Source organism: Homo sapiens, chromosome 1 (assembly GCF_000001405.40).
Source record: "Homo sapiens chromosome 1, GRCh38.p14 Primary Assembly".
NCBI classification, from domain to species: Eukaryota; Metazoa; Chordata; class Mammalia; order Primates; family Hominidae; genus Homo; species Homo sapiens.
In genome coordinates, this window is record NC_000001.11 from 236,539,190 (window position 1) to 236,556,525 (window position 17,336).

The 17,336-nt window shown below is 42.4% G+C and overlaps 2 protein-coding genes across 11 annotated transcripts in view, besides 1 other annotated feature; one reads left to right on the forward strand and one right to left on the reverse strand.

Moving 5' to 3' along the window:
* LGALS8 (galectin 8) overlaps nucleotides 1-13,792 on the forward strand; it is a 34,768-nt gene extending 20,976 nt beyond the window's left edge. For 5 of the 10 annotated variants that reach the window (XM_047420410.1, NM_201545.2, XM_047420411.1 and 2 more), the window contains 7 exons: nucleotides 1,375-1,494; nucleotides 2,465-2,521; nucleotides 3,572-3,598; nucleotides 3,726-3,851; nucleotides 4,371-4,459; nucleotides 5,561-5,726; nucleotides 8,823-13,792. In XM_047420410.1, the coding sequence (XP_047276366.1) occupies nucleotides 1,375-1,494; nucleotides 2,465-2,521; nucleotides 3,572-3,598; nucleotides 3,726-3,851; nucleotides 4,371-4,459; nucleotides 5,561-5,726; nucleotides 8,823-8,972 (735 nt within the window). In that variant the 3' untranslated portion in view covers nucleotides 8,973-13,792. Of the gene's footprint in view, nucleotides 1-1,374; nucleotides 1,495-2,464; nucleotides 2,522-3,571; nucleotides 3,599-3,725; nucleotides 3,852-4,370; nucleotides 4,460-5,560; nucleotides 5,727-5,972; nucleotides 8,773-8,822 lie in introns of those variants that run through there. The other 5 variants (XM_047420416.1, NM_201543.4, NM_201544.4 and 2 more) reach the window with 3 other exon arrangements.
* The window catches only part of HEATR1 (HEAT repeat containing 1), a 55,512-nt gene continuing 47,991 nt past the window's right edge, over nucleotides 9,816-17,336 (reverse strand). Inside the window, exons 38-45 of the mRNA NM_018072.6 lie at nucleotides 16,911-17,069; nucleotides 16,616-16,750; nucleotides 16,362-16,466; nucleotides 16,107-16,275; nucleotides 15,409-15,563; nucleotides 14,392-14,550; nucleotides 12,810-12,918; nucleotides 9,816-11,801 (exon numbers count right to left, since the gene is read on the reverse strand). Coding sequence (NP_060542.4) covers nucleotides 11,713-11,801; nucleotides 12,810-12,918; nucleotides 14,392-14,550; nucleotides 15,409-15,563; nucleotides 16,107-16,275; nucleotides 16,362-16,466; nucleotides 16,616-16,750; nucleotides 16,911-17,069 — 1,080 coding nt within the window. The 3' untranslated portion in view covers nucleotides 9,816-11,712. The remainder of the gene's footprint in view (nucleotides 11,802-12,809; nucleotides 12,919-14,391; nucleotides 14,551-15,408; nucleotides 15,564-16,106; nucleotides 16,276-16,361; nucleotides 16,467-16,615; nucleotides 16,751-16,910; nucleotides 17,070-17,336) is intronic.
* Nucleotides 13,846-14,046: a silencer, noted in NCBI's record as "peak785 fragment used in MPRA reporter construct". NCBI's record gives its function as "represses an SCP1 promoter by STARR-seq MPRAs in K562 erythroleukemia cells {active_cell/tissue: K562}" and the evidence as "EXISTENCE:reporter gene assay evidence [ECO:0000049][PMID:32103011]".

Below are 17,336 nucleotides of genomic sequence, written 5' to 3' on the forward strand. Positions count from 1 at the left end.
GAGATATAGTTTGTTTGGCTTTGTAGTTTTTCTCCATAAAAGGACCAGGAAGGCACCTAAATGTGAGGTATGGCACCACTACTCTCCAGCCAGTTGTTGCCATGCAGAAATATGGTCCACTGTGACCAGATCTTTTTATTAGATCCTATTTCTCCTAGCAGGGCTGAGTTCCGAATTGACACAGTATTATGTTCATGATGGGAGGGTAAGTTATAATATAACCGCCACCACCCGAAGAGCTAACAAGGGCAATCCCAGCGAAGAAATCAGAAGGGTTTTGTAAATTCAAGTCTTGCCACAAGACAGTTCCGTAGGATCATGAGATTTTAGACCCAGAGGAGATCCTAGAAATCCTTGATGTCAGTTCCATCTCTGGCTTCATGGAGTGTCTTGTACCTAGCGTGTATGTGTACGGTTGAATTTGGTCCCAGAAGCTTACACCTGCTGGCCCTCTGGCCTGTGGAGCTTGCCCACAGTAGAGGTATGTACCAACGCGAGAGAAGACTCGAATGCCTCTGGCGCAGATCCTTTCTGATCTTCGGGATACTGCTCCTGCCCGAAAGTCTTTCTGAATCTCCCAAACTCCATTCACCTCTCCCTTCTCTGGCCTTTTGAGCCCGTGTCTGTATCATTCTTTTTCACAGTTTTTAACAGTTGTGCTTTGGCTTTACGTGTTTATTTTGCCTCCACAATGGGATTTTAAGCTCCCTGAGTCAGAGACTATATTGTATGCTGCTCGCGTTTTCTGCCTATAACCTAACGTGGTACCTGGCATTTGAGAGGGAGGGAGGAGGAGCCTCGTAGCGTGCCGAGGACCTGCAGAAGCTACTTTCTCGTCATCTTACTGTAGTCTGTTGAGGTAGAGACTGTTCCTACTTCAGAATAAGAAAACCGAATTCAAATATGTTGGGTAACTTGTCCATATTAATTTATTTAGCAAATACAACAGATTTTGAGTGTCTGCCACATGGGTGGTCTCCAGGGACAGTGTTGTGGGGAGCTCGCAGGCAGATCTTTAACCTGGGTTCACAATCTCCAGGGCACCTGTGCCTGGGCTTCCAGGCGACCTTCGAACCCAGATGTCTCACATGTATGCAGAGGCGCACACAAGCACACGCACATATACTTATGACTGCCTGTTTGTCTGGGGAGAGACAGTTCCTGGTGCTTAATCAAATCAGGAACTCAAAAGAAGTTTGGAAGCACTGCTAGTGTTTTGGGTGCTTTCGGTTACCATTTGGTCATGTGTGTGGAGACCTGTGGGAACAGGTATAAAACTGGACGCAAGGAAACATTTAAATTTGGATAATAAGTTAATTTATTAACTGTTTTTTTTTGGTGGCGGGGGGGGCTCTGTCTTCTGTATCTCTCTAGGTGGCTGTAAATGGAAAACATACTCTGCTCTATGGCCACAGGATCGGCCCAGAGAAAATAGACACTCTGGGCATTTATGGCAAAGTGAATATTCACTCAATTGGTTTTAGCTTCAGCTCGGTGAGTGACCTTCCACAGCTTGGGGTCTTTTATGAGGATGGTTTCTGATGAGATGGTAGAAAAAATCTTCAAATAACACTTCTATTGACATAAAAAGGACGTATCTCCCTGACTGTAGTATTAATTTTTTGGAAGTGAACTGTTCACACTAGCAGAAGGCTGTTTATCAGCCAGGGCTTCATTGTCTGTAGGATCTCAAACCTAGTGTGGTTTTAATAAAACACACACAGTTTTTAGCTGGGTAGCAGCTATTTCCTTTGCATGGGCATAAAATGGAGTATTTCTGTAAGACAGGTTCCTAGGCTGGGAGTGCCTGAGTCAAAGAGCACAGTCATGTGTTGCATAAGGACAGTTCAGTCAAAGATGAACCACATATACAACCGTGGTCCCATAAGATTGTCATATACTGTATTTTTACCATACCTTTTCTATGTTTAGGTAAGTTTATATGCACAAATACTTACCATCCTGCTCTGGTTGCCTACAGTATTTGGTACAGTGCCTGCTGTACAGATTCACTGGCCAGGAGCTATAGGCCACACCCTACAGCCTAGGTGTGTAGTTGGCAGTACCATCTAAGGTTGTTAAGTAATATTCTGTGATGTTTGCACGATGACAAAAGTCATGTAAGGACACATTTCTCAGAACATACCCCCTTCGTTAAGCAACACATGACTGTCTTTGCATTGAAAATTTTGATAGATACTAACTCGCCCTTCACAAGGGTAAAAACAGTTTGCACTCTCAACAGCCATGCTCCCACCTTCTTGCTGACATTACATCTTATTCTCTGTAATGTTTGCCAATCTGATGGGGGGCGGAAAGGACCACAGTGTCAAGTGTATTTTTGGATCATAGTTTTCAAGCATATTTTTAGTACCATTTATAATTTTTTTATATGTCAATATAAAATATTTAGAAAATATTTTCTACTGGATGTTACAAATTAATCTTTATTATCTTTTCTCAGGACTTACAAAGTACCCAAGCATCTAGTCTGGAACTGACAGAGATAAGTAGAGAAAATGTAAATATTAAATCTTTTAATGAGCCACTGGTTTAAAAATGTTGTTTTAGCTGCCATGTTAATGAAATGGCAAGAAGGCTGGGTTTTTGAAAATTATGCTTTTAGAACGCAAGTAATCACTTGAAAATTGAGATACATACTTGTGGTGCCAGGCACGCAGTAAGTTTTTGCTGATGATTCACCTGTCAGTTTCTGTAACTGCCACTCACTGTTCTTATGTAAAAAGCACTCTCTCACTCTTAACTGCTGAATAGTACTGTTCTGGGGTATTTCCAAATATTGAACATCAGCCAGTGCACTGGCAAATGAACTTCCATGTGTATCTTCAACCCCTGGGAGAATAACTGCAATTTAAAAATGCGCTGTTATTAATGGAGAAAGTGAGGTCTTACCGACTGGCACGTTCACACCTCACAGACAGAACAGAATCTTAGCATTCTGGGGGCACCCTGGAAAGGACAACTAAGACACGTTTGAAGTTCATGTAGTGCTGGGTGAAGGTGGTGGCTCAGGCCTGTAGTCCCAGCGCTTTGGCTGAGGTGGGGGGATTGCTTGAGCCTAGGAGTTTGAGATCAGCCTGGGCCACATAGGGAGAACCCCATCTCTACAAAAAATTAAAAAATTATCTGGGCATGGTGGCGCATGGCTGTGATCCCAGCTTTGGGTGGCTGAAGTAGGCGGATGACTTGAGCCCAGGAGGTTGAGGCTGCAGTGAGCCATGATTGAGCCACTGCATCCCAGTGTGGATGACAGAGTAAGACCCTGTCTCTTAAAAAAATTTCATATAGTTCTATGAAAAATTATTAATTTATGGTGGAGGATAAAGGACTCAGATGAACAGGGATATCAGACTCTCTTCTCAACCCGTGTAGCCCTTCACAACACCATACCATTCCGTCATAAAGCACCAGCTGCCTGGAGGTCACACCAGAGTGGAGCAGGAACATCCCAGGCTCCGGCCAGGCTCAGCTCAGCACAACCAAGACTTCAGATTATAAACTATAATTCTTCCCCTTCTAACATTGTTGTGTTTTGTTTCTTTTCCAATAGGTTCCAAAGTCTGGCACGCCCCAGCTTGTGAGTATTTTTGCCTGGGTTATTTCATGTGGAATATTTTATAAAGTTGCATAGAAAATGAACAGTTTAAACCGTGGAGGGCAGCTTCATTCATTCCATTCCTTACTGTAGAACTGTTTCCCTACAGCCTAGTAATAGAGGAGGAGACATTTCTAAAATCGCACCCAGAACTGTCTACACCAAGAGCAAAGATTCGACTGTCAATCACACTTTGACTTGCACCAAAATACCACCTATGAACTATGTGTCAAAGGTTTGAAGAGCACCAAATTTTCTTAACTCTATATAAAAATTAAGTTGTAATGAGCTGTTACGAGTAACCTGTATCCACAATAGAGGCCCAAAGCAGCCCCCTCTGCATTTGTGTGCCGTCCCTGGACGGATTCGAGAGTCAACCAGGCCTGCCTCTGAGCCATTCCTGTGTATTTCCTCAGCACCTCCCTGCTTGGCTGCTTCCCCTTCAGGCAGAACACAGTACTGCCTCAGACCCCAGGCACAGGGGGCCTTCCTGGCGTGTTTCACTCATACAGAGGGCATCGGGTCCCACCCTGTCACTCATTTCATCGTCTAAAATGTAATCATGTGTGTTTGCTTCGAGCCAGGGACAGTGCTGCTGCAGGGGACCCAGCTGGGACCAAGGCAGACTGTCTCTCCCCTCCTGGGATTTACAGGGTCATGGCTCTGAAACATTCCGTAGTGTTCTTTGGACACGAGTTTTCCCTGGAGATCGCTTTCTGCAGGCCTCTTGGTCCTGACTGTGGCTTCTTTTCAGAGGCTGCCATTCGCTGCAAGGTTGAACACCCCCATGGGCCCTGGACGAACTGTCGTCGTTAAAGGAGAAGTGAATGCAAATGCCAAAAGGTCAGTATCCTTCGGTACCAGTCACAGTGCAGATACTTCCGTGCCTGTTACCGCCTTCCACCCGTGAACGGTCCTGTGAGCTGGAAGAAGGGCTAGCGTCAGAATCTTCATTTCCAAAGTGAGATGATTCAAGCAGGAGGTGGTTAGATTGTGAACAGCCAGTGGGCAGCAGAGCCGACTAAGGCCGTGTTCTGACCTCGGCTTTTTCTGGCCAGACAAGAGAGTAGCATTTTTGTCCACGAGGCCTATCCTTGCCTTGTAGAACTCCAGAGCAGCCCCGTAAGATCAGGCAACATCTTTTCTTTTTTTTTTTTGAGATGGAGCCTCACTGTGTCACCCAGGCTGGAGTGCAGTGTCACAATCCCAGCACACCACAACCTCCGCTTCCTGGGTGTTCAAGCCATTCTCCTACCTCAGCCTCTGGAGTAGCTGGGATTACAGGCGCACCACCACGCCCAGCTACTTTTTGAATTTTTGTATTTTTAGTAGAGACAGGGGTTCACCATGTTGGCCAGGCTGGTCTGGAACTCCTGACCTCAAGTGATCCGCCCACTTCGCCCTCCCAGTGCTGGGATTACAGGTGTGAGTCACCACGCCCAGCCCAGGCAACATTTTTTAGGGCCCCTCTTGTCATGTGATTTAGAAAATTTCTGCTTTAACAACTTTTTCCACAGACGTCCAGCCTTCTGAAAGCTTGAAATTAGAGCTATTTCCTAGAAAGTGGCATACTTTCAAGAAGGAAGGAACACGGGTAGATGATGAAAAGAGAATACCTGCTTGAGAGGATCCCAGGCTCCTGCAGCCTGAAGTAGTCATTCAGTTTAGCGTTAAACCTTCCATTTCTGTCCAACCACATCTCAGCCTCAACGCTGATTTTAAAGGGTTTTTTTTTTCGTATTTTTATTTTGCAAGTAACGAATTAGTGGAATGCTGACTGGGTTTAAAATTTCAACTTCACCTGCATTCCCATGTCCATGTGGATACGTGTGTTTCATAGAGTTAGAATCATAGTTCAAGTCTGGTCACTAACATTGCTGAAATTGCCACTACTCTGTCCTACTTGGTTAATTAAGGTTTTTTTTTTTCTTTCTTTCTCAAAAGCTTTAATGTTGACCTACTAGCAGGAAAATCAAAGGATATTGCTCTACACTTGAACCCACGCCTGAATATTAAAGCATTTGTAAGAAATTCTTTTCTTCAGGAGTCCTGGGGAGAAGAAGAGAGAAATATTACCTCTTTCCCATTTAGTCCTGGGATGTACTTTGAGGTGAGGTTACAGTTTTTGAAAATGGGACAGCAATAAGAATCCTGGGAGCAGGGGTGGGATAAGTGGTCCATTTAAATCAAGTCCTAACTCAGTATGTGGAAGTTGTGTATGTTTTTTGTTTACTTGGAGATTGTAATTTGCCCCTTTTTATAACGTGGGCAATCAGTATAAATGGCAAAGCCAGTAGAGTGTCAAATTATGCACATTGGAATTGACATTTGTCATCATATTAAAATTCCTGTGTAGCCCCATATTGATAGGAATTTAACCAGGAAGCTTGTCTCAGGACTGGAGTCACACATTTAATCATATAAGCAGACTTGAGGACGTGGAGACCCTAAAACTGCTTGCTTGCACTGGCCATCATCTCCCATCAGGGTAGACGGTTTCAGGTGGCAGTCCTTTCTCCTAAGGAGTTAGTCTTGTTTGTATGTATTCAAGGAAAAATACATCAGTCCCTTGGAACTAAAAGGCATGCAGTCCTGAGTCCCCAGATAGGTGAATATTGTAACACATACCTTTCCCGAAATATGTTTCTGGGATGCTGAGCAGAGAATAGTCTCCTTGTGATGCGGATGCCGGGTGTTTGGCCAGCCTCAATCACCAGCTCAGGTGCCACTGCCTCACACAGTCACTTAGGGTCATTGGTTTAGGTTATCATTCTACAGCATTTTAAACTGACACATTGTCTGGACCATGTGGGTTCTTGAGGACTCATCAAAACTCGTTACTAAAAGCATGAATATCAGGCGGAATAGATAGCAATGTGACATTCATATTTATCCCTAAGTTCCAGTCTAATGCAGTGCCCTGGTATGTGGAGTGTAGACAGATGTGGGCTAATCATGGAAGGTTCCCTGAAGTTGTGGATATTGGTTTGGAATTCAGAAAGCTGGGAAGGATGTGGAAGGCTGAAGGTTGGCTTTTCTAGATTTAGGGCATGATTTGAACAAGTCCTTAGAGGTGGGAAGGGCAGCACAGGGTTGTTAGCTTGGCAAGAGTCAAGGCGCAAAGGGTGACTTGGGGTTCACTGGAGGGAAACAGAGGTGAGTGCTCTAGAAGGAAGTTGAGCCTTGTGGTGGGTGACAGGAAACCAATGATGTAACTTGTTTTTGACCTATCTGGGCCCCAAGTTTGGATCTGCTATATTAATATAAAAAAGGATAATAATGATACATTCAAATAATGCTGAAAAATACTAAGATGAAAATACCTCCAACTTCATAATTCAAACCATACCATTAGGATTAGGTGAACCACATTCCAGGCATTTTTTTGCAGAGACAGTGAAAGGGATGGCTGGCTGAAGGAATGAATAGATGAATGTTATATGCTTTTGAACAATCGTCTTTTCCATTTAATTTTCTAATTCAGGAGCAGTAATTATCCTTGTGTTGATCACTGCTGACGATTTTCTATACTGATAGGTCCTTTCCGGGGGCTTCCATCTCTTGCCTTTTAAATATGCTTGCATTGAGATTATCTCAGGTCTTTCCATTATGCCATTACTTTCATTTTAAATCTTCTTGCTCTTTCAAATACACTTTAGTTGTATCTACAGTTTTTTAAAAACAATCTCATTCAGTGTTGTAATTTCATCTGTGGGCTCTTCCTCTGGATGAAATCCGTGTTCCAGCTGTTCGGCAGCATCAGATGGTTGTGAGGGATTCTGTTGTTCTGTTTTCTTCTAGGCAAAGGATGTGCCTTCTTTTCATTTGCAGTAGTCTGCTCACCCGGAAGCATGTCATTTCTTTGCCACTTGCTTGTAATTCACTGGCTTTGCACTTGCTCTGATACAGTACAGGTAACTAATTGACTCCCTCTGCTGCCAACTTGGTTTTCCTTCTGAGCTATAGCATCAGGCTGTGTGTTTTGTGTTTTCTTGAGATTTTGTTAAATATATCTGGGGTCCCTTCTACCTGGTTGGAACTGGGATTCCCACCATTCTTGTGGGGATAGAATCTCAGGTTACACCTATTTCCCCAATCCTCTGTAGCCACAGAAGCTTCATCTTGGCCAGCTGTTATCAGAGTGCAGGACTTGGGCTGAAATTTCCTCCCCTTCCTGATTTTCCTTGACAGTCCTTTCCACTGCTCCTATCAAAAGAATGGAAACCCTCAACTTGCTGCTTTGCAGATTCAGGTTTTGTGCTTCATTCTGGCCTCTCGGGGTGGGGCCGGGTTAGCAGCAAGGCTGAGCTGCCCCTCTTTCTTCTGAAGCCTTCATGGGGGCGAGGAGCACAGGGAGAGCTCAGTGCAGGGCCTCCCAGTGGCCTTCTCAGAGTGGGTGGAAACCCAGCCTGGCACTGGCAGCGTGGCACCAGAAGTATGAAGTGTAGGTGTAAAGGTGATGTAAAAGGCTAGTAGGTTTTTTGGTTTTTCATTGTTTGAGTTTTGGGCATAGATGACTGTGAAGGGCGAACACTGCCGATGGATCTGAATTTGTAGTATGTGCACCACTTCCAACTTACGGGATACCCAGCTTTGACGGCTTTGGACAAACACACTGAGGCCAAGATGTGCTGAGCTTATCAGGATCAGGATCACCAAGCAGCTGTAAAAACCCTAGCAAGTGCCTTAAGCTGCTGAAATTTCATATTAATTGTCTGGTTTGTTCATGGTCCTAGAGTTTGAGGCAGAAAAGTCAGTCAGGATCCAAGTCCCTTGGTTCCAGGCTACAGCTGGAAACAGCATCTCGGTGAACTAAAGCAACCATATTAGGAGTGAGTTTTCCTGCTTTAGGAGAGTCCCCAGCATCGGCGAGGAGGGGCAGCACTCTGGCTTTCCAGGAGCAAGGGGCAGGATGCGGCCGAGGGAGAGGGGCTGTGTTGAGGAAAGGAGGGCCGCAGGCCCTGGGGATGGTGTGAGGCTCCAAACATGTCCGAGTCACTTCCCTGGGTGGGATGAGGCAGACAGTGCCACCACCAGGGACACTTTAGTTAGATTAGGGTCTTGGAAGTCAGAAGGAAGTCAGCAGCAGCAGGCTGGAACTTTTCTATGTATAATCAAATGGTTTACTCTGACACCGTTAGCATGTAACAAACACAAAATTTTAAACTAAGGGGAACCACTAATGGCATGTATCCTTTCCTTTCAGATGATAATTTATTGTGATGTTAGAGAATTCAAGGTTGCAGTAAATGGCGTACACAGCCTGGAGTACAAACACAGATTTAAAGAGCTCAGCAGTATTGACACGCTGGAAATTAATGGAGACATCCACTTACTGGAAGTAAGGAGCTGGTAGCCTACCTACACAGCTGCTACAAAAACCAAAATACAGAATGGCTTCTGTGATACTGGCCTTGCTGAAACGCATCTCACTGTCATTCTATTGTTTATATTGTTAAAATGAGCTTGTGCACCATTAGGTCCTGCTGGGTGTTCTCAGTCCTTGCCATGAAGTATGGTGGTGTCTAGCACTGAATGGGGAAACTGGGGGCAGCAACACTTATAGCCAGTTAAAGCCACTCTGCCCTCTCTCCTACTTTGGCTGACTCTTCAAGAATGCCATTCAACAAGTATTTATGGAGTACCTACTATAATACAGTAGCTAACATGTATTGAGCACAGATTTTTTTTGGTAAAACTGTGAAGAGCTAGGATATATACTTGGTGAAACAAACCAGTATGTTCCCTGTTCTCTTGAGCTTCGACTCTTCTGTGCGCTACTGCTGCGCACTGCTTTTTCTACAGGCATTACATCAACTCCTAAGGGGTCCTCTGGGATTAGTTATGCAGATATTAAATCACCCGAAGACACTAACTTACAGAAGACACAACTCCTTCCCCAGTGATCACTGTCATAACCAGTGCTCTACCGTATCCCATCACTGAGGACTGATGTTGACTGACATCATTTTCTTTATCGTAATAAACATGTGGCTCTATTAGCTGCAAGCTTTACCAAGTAATTGGCATGACATCTGAGCACAGAAATTAAGGCAAAAAACCAAAGCAAAACAAATACATGGTGCTGAAATTAACTTGATGCCAAGCCCAAGGCAGCTGATTTCTGTGTATTTGAACTTAGGGCAAATCAGAGTCTACACAGACGCCTACAGAAAGTTTCAGGAAGAGGCAAGATGCATTCAATTTGAAAGATATTTATGGGCAACAAAGTAAGGTCAGGATTAGACTTCAGGCATTCATAAGGCAGGCACTATCAGAAAGTGTACGCCAACTAAGGGACCCACAAAGCAGGCAGAGGTAATGCAGAAATCTGTTTTGTTCCCATGAAATCACCAATCAAGGCCTCCGTTCTTCTAAAGATTAGTCCATCATCATTAGCAACTGAGATCAAAGCACTCTTCCACTTTACGTGATTAAAATCAAACCTGTATCAGCAAGTTAAATGGTTCCATTTCTGTGATTTTTCTATTATTTGAGGGGAGTTGGCAGAAGTTCCATGTATATGGGATCTTTACAGGTCAGATCTTGTTACAGGAAATTTCAAAGGTTTGGGAGTGGGGAGGGAAAAAAGCTCAGTCAGTGAGGATCATTTTATCACATTAGACTGGGGCAGAACTCTGCCAGGATTTAGGAATATTTTCAGAACAGATTTTAGATATTATTTCTATCCATATATTGAAAAGAATACCATTGTCAATCTTATTTTTTTAAAAGTACTCAGTGTAGAAATCGCTAGCCCTTAATTCTTTTCCAGCTTTTCATATTAATGTATGCAGAGTCTCACCAAGCTCAAAGACACTGGTTGGGGGTGGAGGGTGCCACAGGGAAAGCTGTAGAAGGCAAGAAGACTCGAGAATCCCCCAGAGTTATTTTTCTCCATAAAGACCATCAGAGTGCTTAACTGAGCTGTTGGAGACTGTGAGGCATTTAGGAAAAAAATAGCCCACTCACATCATTCCTTGTAAGTCTTAAGTTCATTTTCATTTTACGTGGAGGAAAAAAATTTAAAAAGCTATTAGTATTTATTAATGAATTTTACTGAGACATTTCTTAGAAATATGCACTTCTATACTAGCAAGCTCTGTCTCTAAAATGCAAGTTGGCCTTTTGCTTGCCACATTTCTGCATTAAACTTCTATATTAGCTTCAAAGGCTTTTAAACTCAATGCGAACATTCTACGGGATGTTCTTAGATGCCTTTAAAAAGGGGGCAGATCTAATTTTATTTGAACCCTCACTTTCCAACTTCACCATGACCCAGTACTAGAGATTAGGGCACTTCAAAGCATTGAAAAAAATCTACTGATACTTACTTTCTTAGACAAGTAGTTCTTAGTTAACCACCAATGGAACTGGGTTCATTCTGAATCCTGGAGGAGCTTCCTCGTGCCACCCAGTGTTTCTGGGCCCTCTGTGTGAGCAGCCAGGTGTGAGCTGTTTTAGAAGCAGCGTGTTGCCTTCATCTCTCCCGTTTCCCAAAAGAACAAAGGATAAAGGTGACAGTCACACTCCTGGGTTAAAAAAAGCATTCCAGAACCACTTCTCTTTATGGGCACAACAAAGAAACGAAGGCTGAAGTTCGCCTACCCAAAATGAAAAGTAGGCTTTACAGTCAAAAGTACTTCTGTTGATTGCTAAATAACTTCATTTTCTTGAAATAGAGCAACTTTGAGTGAAATCTGCAACATGGATACCATGTATGTAAGATACTGCTGTACAGAAGAGTTAAGGCTTACAGTGCAAATGAGGCGTCAGCTTTGGGTGCTAAAATTAACAAGTCTAATATTATTACCATCAATCAGGAAGAGAATAATAAATGTTTAAACAAACACAGCAGTCTGTATAAAAATACCGTGTATCATTTACTCTTTCTGCAGCTCTATACGATAGGCAGGAGAGGCTTATGTGGCAGCACAAGCCAGGTGGGGATTTTGTAAAGAAGTGATAAAACATTTGTAAGTAATCCAAGTAGGTGTATTAAGGCACCAAAAGTAACATGGCACCCAACACCCAAAAATAAAAATATGAAATATGAGTGTGAACTCTGAGTAGAGTATGAAACACCACAGAAAGTCTTAGAAATAGCTCTGGAGTGGCTCTCCCAGGACAGTTTCCAGTTGCTGAATAGTCTTTTGGCACTGATGTTCTACTTCTTCACATTCATCTAAAAAAAAAAAAAAAAAATCAAAATTAAAATCTGAGTCAGTCCGCCTGCCTCGGTTCTCATTAGTTTAATTCTTAATGCCTTGCACTTTCCGGCAATCATTCAATCAAAAGAGTGAAATGAAGCACATTAACAAAGCAGGAGGCGCCACGGACCGCCTCCCTCCACACCGCTCCTTCCGCCTTCATTCCTTGCCCACAGGCTTGCACTGGAAGCTGAATAAGAATCCCCAAAACTCAAACTTCCTAGGGATGCCACCCCTTTAGTAGCTCACACCTCCCCCCTCCAAGAGCTAAGAAACAAAGGAGAATGTACTTTTGTAGCTTAGATAAGCAATGAATCAGTAAAGGACTGATCTACTTGCTCCACCACCCCTCCCTTAATAATAACATTTACTGTTATTTCCTGGGCCTAAGACTCTATGTTCCAGAACTGTCACAGCTCCCCATGTCACACTCACTAGCTTGTGATCTTTGTCAAATAACTGAAATCTTTTAAGCCTCTAGTTTCTTCCTTTGTAAAACAGAGATAAAATGTTGTGGTTTTTAAGTGAGATAATCCAAGTAAAGCACCTAACATGGAGTAGTGAATGAACATCGGTTGCTACTAAAAGTGGACATCCTACTGCATCCTTAATGCCACTAGGCATTTCCATACAATCTGGGGACCAAAACTTCAATCATATAAATGTATGAGGTTAATTAAAAACACTACTGTAATCTGCTTGTATGATCACAAACCACCACAAAAGAAAAGATCGTGAAGATTACACTGTAAACGGACTCTCAAATGATCAGGAGGTGGTCACTTCGCAACTTGCTCCCTCCACCCAACTCAAAACAGGAGCTCGAGCCTGCCTGTATTTGAGACTGGAGCTGCCTGTATGAGGACTGGATCAACTGCTAGTCACGTTATATCCAAATCTGCATTATCATTGGGCACATTTTCACAGAATTTTACTGAATTATTCCTTAATTGTTTAATGGTTGGGAATAGTTTGGGAATTACCTTCCATCAACTCTGCTAAGAAAGGAATGGATTCTGGTAGCAAGACAATATAATTCTCCTTTAGTTTTTCAGCCAGTGCTAACACAGTAATCAAAGCAGCAAATCGAACCTGAAAGGGATAAAAGAGCAAAGAAATAAAAAGTAGTGTTACTGTATTTATTATCTTAAGAGCTGTACTGACTTGAGACAAGCTCTAACTTTTTAAACATTAGTTCACATGCGTTTATTCACTTCATTATGTTCATTAAGCTTTCATCTTAGAATACCAGTTTCACCATTTGGGAGCTGTTTGTAATATGTGCAACCTTATAAATAGTGTTTTCCAAACTGTGTCCCAGGACTGCAAATCTTTAATGTGAAATGTCTTTTTATAATCTCTTCCTTTAAAAAAAACCAATAAAATAAAATGCCGCATGCAAACTCAAGTGTGTCACCAGATTTTACTTCATTGGCGCTCGCCAGCCCGCCAGGCTGGCAATAAAGTGCCTCCAGCCACCTCTGGCAGGTCTCCTCACCCACAGCCCCTGACTGGTCACCACTATAATTGTATGAGGGGCCAGGACAGTCGCTTGGGATAAACTCCCATCTCAGCACTGAATAAAAAACATTCTGTGTCACAATATCCTAGTTTTGGGGCTTTAAAAACGTCTAGGTGTTCCTCACATGCCTTGTCTATAATAAGGAAAGCAAGCAGTAGTTGGGTATTGTTAGCTTTTGAAACAAAAGCCCTACTGGTCTTCTAATTTTGGATATTTTAATTAAAGAATATCTGGACAGTACAAAGTGAATTATTAAAAAACCATTTGTAACTACCTAGATTCAATCAGGATTTCCTTGATTTGTGCAAAGTAAAATATTACAATAAATTTGATACTGCTACTTGTATAAAAACCTATGGTTTAAAATGTGGGGGTTCATCATAATAGTCTCATTGTTAGCATATCCTAATAAAGAATTTGAACTAATAAATCCTATTAATAAAATTCTGCTTTGGTCTGTTATAGCCAGTAAAGTTCTAATACAATCATTAGTTTGAGAAATGGTGACTCATTGCTAAAACAGTTTGAAATTCGTAACACTTGGGTGTCAAATTTTGACTTCCACTCAACCTACCCATGTTTTATTTCCACTGCCACCACTTACTCAACAAGATCATAAGCCTAGTATCTATAAACAACAGAATGTATTGCTCTAACTCAAAAGACTATAGTGTGGATAAATTCAATGCATTTCTCTCTGGAGCACAATGACATTTCAATGGCACTTAAAAAAGAAGGAATTACTTCAAATCTTTGTTATTTAAAAGTATTTAGAAAGTATTTTAGTACTTCTGCCCAACGCACCATTGGGGTGGGGATAGGGCATTGCTATTCTTTACAAATAGCCTGTAAGTAAAAAACAAAATTTTCTTAGGCACAAATTTCTGCCTAATACAAAAGACCGGACCTCTAGTACTGGATGACAAATAGCAATGTTCTTCCCTGCCAGTTTACTAGGGGGCCTACATCTGTGACCACCTGCAGGCTGTTTAGGCTATGCAGTGAAAAGATGCAGTTTCAGTACTTGTCACGCAGTTCCTAACCTTAGGCGAGGAGTCTCTCGTCTTTAGCAGAATCTGGTAGTTCAGTGGTTTCCAAAGAGAGTCATCCGCCATGGCCACCGAAAACTGTGCGATGCATGGTATCAGGTGCTTTGTCACCCGTTCCTGGAATTTCTCTTCTCCCCCAAGCCTGTTTTCCAGCTAGGAAGAGTAAGACAAAGACTTTGAACAACAAGTCTCATTTCTTTCTTCTGTTTGAAAAAATATCCAACATACAAATATTTTACTATCTTTCATGATATTAGCAGGTTCAAAAACCAGGCATTATTCTAATACTCTCTAGGGCAAATGTATTGCCTTCTAGAACTCAAATGGAATCTCATACCCTTTATCATCGCCCCTTTCTCTCCAGCAGAACATCTCAGAGGAGCTCTTTGCTCCAGAGGACAGCCATGCTCTGACGCGTTCTCAGTGAGGCCCAGTTAAAACAAATGAATACATTAACCATGACAGCTTATATCATGTCTGTCTTTTGAGCAGTTTAAAAAATAAAAAATAAAAAATAACTCAGGGCCAGGCATGGTGGCTCACGCCTGTAATCCCAGCAGTTTGGGAGGCCAAGGTGGGTGGATCACTTGAGGTCAGGAGTTCGAGACCAGCCTGGCCAACATGGCAAAACCTCATCCCTACTAAAAATACAAAAATTAGCCAGGTGTGGAGGCGGGCGCCTGTGATCCCAGCTATTCGGGAGGCTGAGGCACAAGAATTGCTTGAAACCGGGAGGTGGAGGTTGCAGCGAGCCGAGATTGCACCACTGCACTCCAGCCTGGGTGACAGAGCAAGACCCTGTCTCAAAACAACAAAACAAAACTCAAATTCCACAATGAAGTTATATCTTTGAAAAAACAATTTTCAAATAAAACATTTCATTAAAAAGACCAGAAAAAACAACCTTACAAAGAAAAATCCTAGCAAGCTGTCATTTGAGCAGATCTAAAACCTGCCAAGCTCGAACAGTGATGGCTTCCTCAGCAACGAAAGATGATTCTGTTTGGTTACCTGATCCACCAGAGGCATCATCAAGGCTTCTGCTCTCTCTTTACTTATAAAATGCTGGGTATCAAAAAGGAAGATTTTGTATAAACAGTTCAAAATAAACTGCAACAGCAAGCAGCACTTTTCAGGGTCATTTTCAGAGTCAAAAAATGCTTCATCTGTAGACGTGGGAAGAGTAAAAATGAAAAAACACTGAACTTAACCATTTAATCTCCAATGTTTACATTGAAATCACTATTAAAATAACTAAATCAGAAGAGTCTAAAATGATCTAGAAATCATAATCAGGACGAAGGCAGAACACAATGGATGGTCTCTCGAAGAATGATTCCTTCTTTTAGAGTTAAGATTCTAACACTCACTCTGGCAAGTTAAATTCCCTCAACTGTCAAGTGGGTCACGTATTAGCATTAGAGAATAAACTAATCTTAATTTTTGCGTTTTAAAGTTACTTCCAGTAACTGACAGTAACGGCCATTTACTTTATTCTTTCTCCCAAGTGAGGTGACTTATAACATTCGCTCATGATGCTAAAACAACACTTCACTGTCTGACAACAATGAAGTAAAAAATTCACCCTCCTTAGCTTAGGACTTAAGAACCTCTAAAATCTTGCTTCCAAGCACTAGGTTGTGTCTTACTGGTACCTTGTATAAGGCACACAGGGCAAGGGTGACAGCTGAACTGAAGCGACCACCCACCTGTTTTGGAGATGTTCACCTGGTTCAAGGTGTCAGCAAAAGGCTTCACTAAGTGGCCGGCAAACAGAGTAAAAAGCCCTTTCAGCTTTTCAGCAATGCAATCTGCCAAGTTGTAAAATGTCAACAACCTGTCCTTTGGGGCATCTTCTGTTTTAGCCCAATCAAACAGCTGAAAGGATAAGACAGTATTAGTTTCTTCGACATCTTGTCACTTAAATCTGAGCACAAAAGAGAGGAAGAGGAAGAAAGCGTCACCTTGAAGAACAGGGGCCTGAATGTGACCTCGGAAAGTTTGACAACCATGGCTACTAGACAGTCAATGATACAATTTTCCGTTTTTCCAACTTCCTCCAGATCGTTCTGAAAACAGAAGAGCCCATTTATTAGAGTGCTGATACCTGACTGTAAATTATTTTGGCAAGTACCACTGTTACACGGCTAGATTGTTCTCGGACTCTTCAATAGGTGGATAACAGCTTTAGGATTTGGAGGAGTGAACCTGAGCTTACCTCAGAGTGCTGGGCTCGGAAGTCCAGGGCTTCCAGGAAAAAGGCGGTTAGCTGAGACTGATGGGAGGTGAGCTCTTCCTTCTTCATCACCCCAATATGCTCTTGCAAGATGCTCATAAACGGACCCATGTGATTCTACCAATAACACAGGAAAGAGATGTGCCATTTTCAAATGATTCCTAGAGTTCAGCGGTGTGTATTTTTAAAAACTAAATCTTCTTCTTTAAGTCAAAGTTTACACATTGCAGTACCACCTCTCCCTTCTCCAAAGTCTTAATACCCAATAAGATCTAACCTTCCAGTTCTTCTCAATCTGCTTGTAAGTTTTTTTGATGGCGGGCAACAGGACTCGGGGTGCAAGTGTGGTAGCCAGTGTCTTTTTAAGAGATGTGAGACGGATATTAGCCTGTGACGCAGAACCCATTTCACTAGTGATTTTCTCCAGATGAATCACCTACAGGAATATAAAAAAAGTGATCAGGGCCACTGCAGATCTTCGCTGACAAACACACACTTACAGAGAGGCTTCATGATGAGGTACTAGTGTTTGGAAAATGCTTAGCACTTTTTAACTACACACAGAATTCCTTTTAAAGTCAGCCCTAAACGTCAGTGGATAAAACTGGGCAGACACCTCTTGCCCAACTTGCGATCAGGGACGAAGGCCGATGGTAGACGCAGACGCACACACAGCACCCAGACAGATGATTTTCTTAGAGGA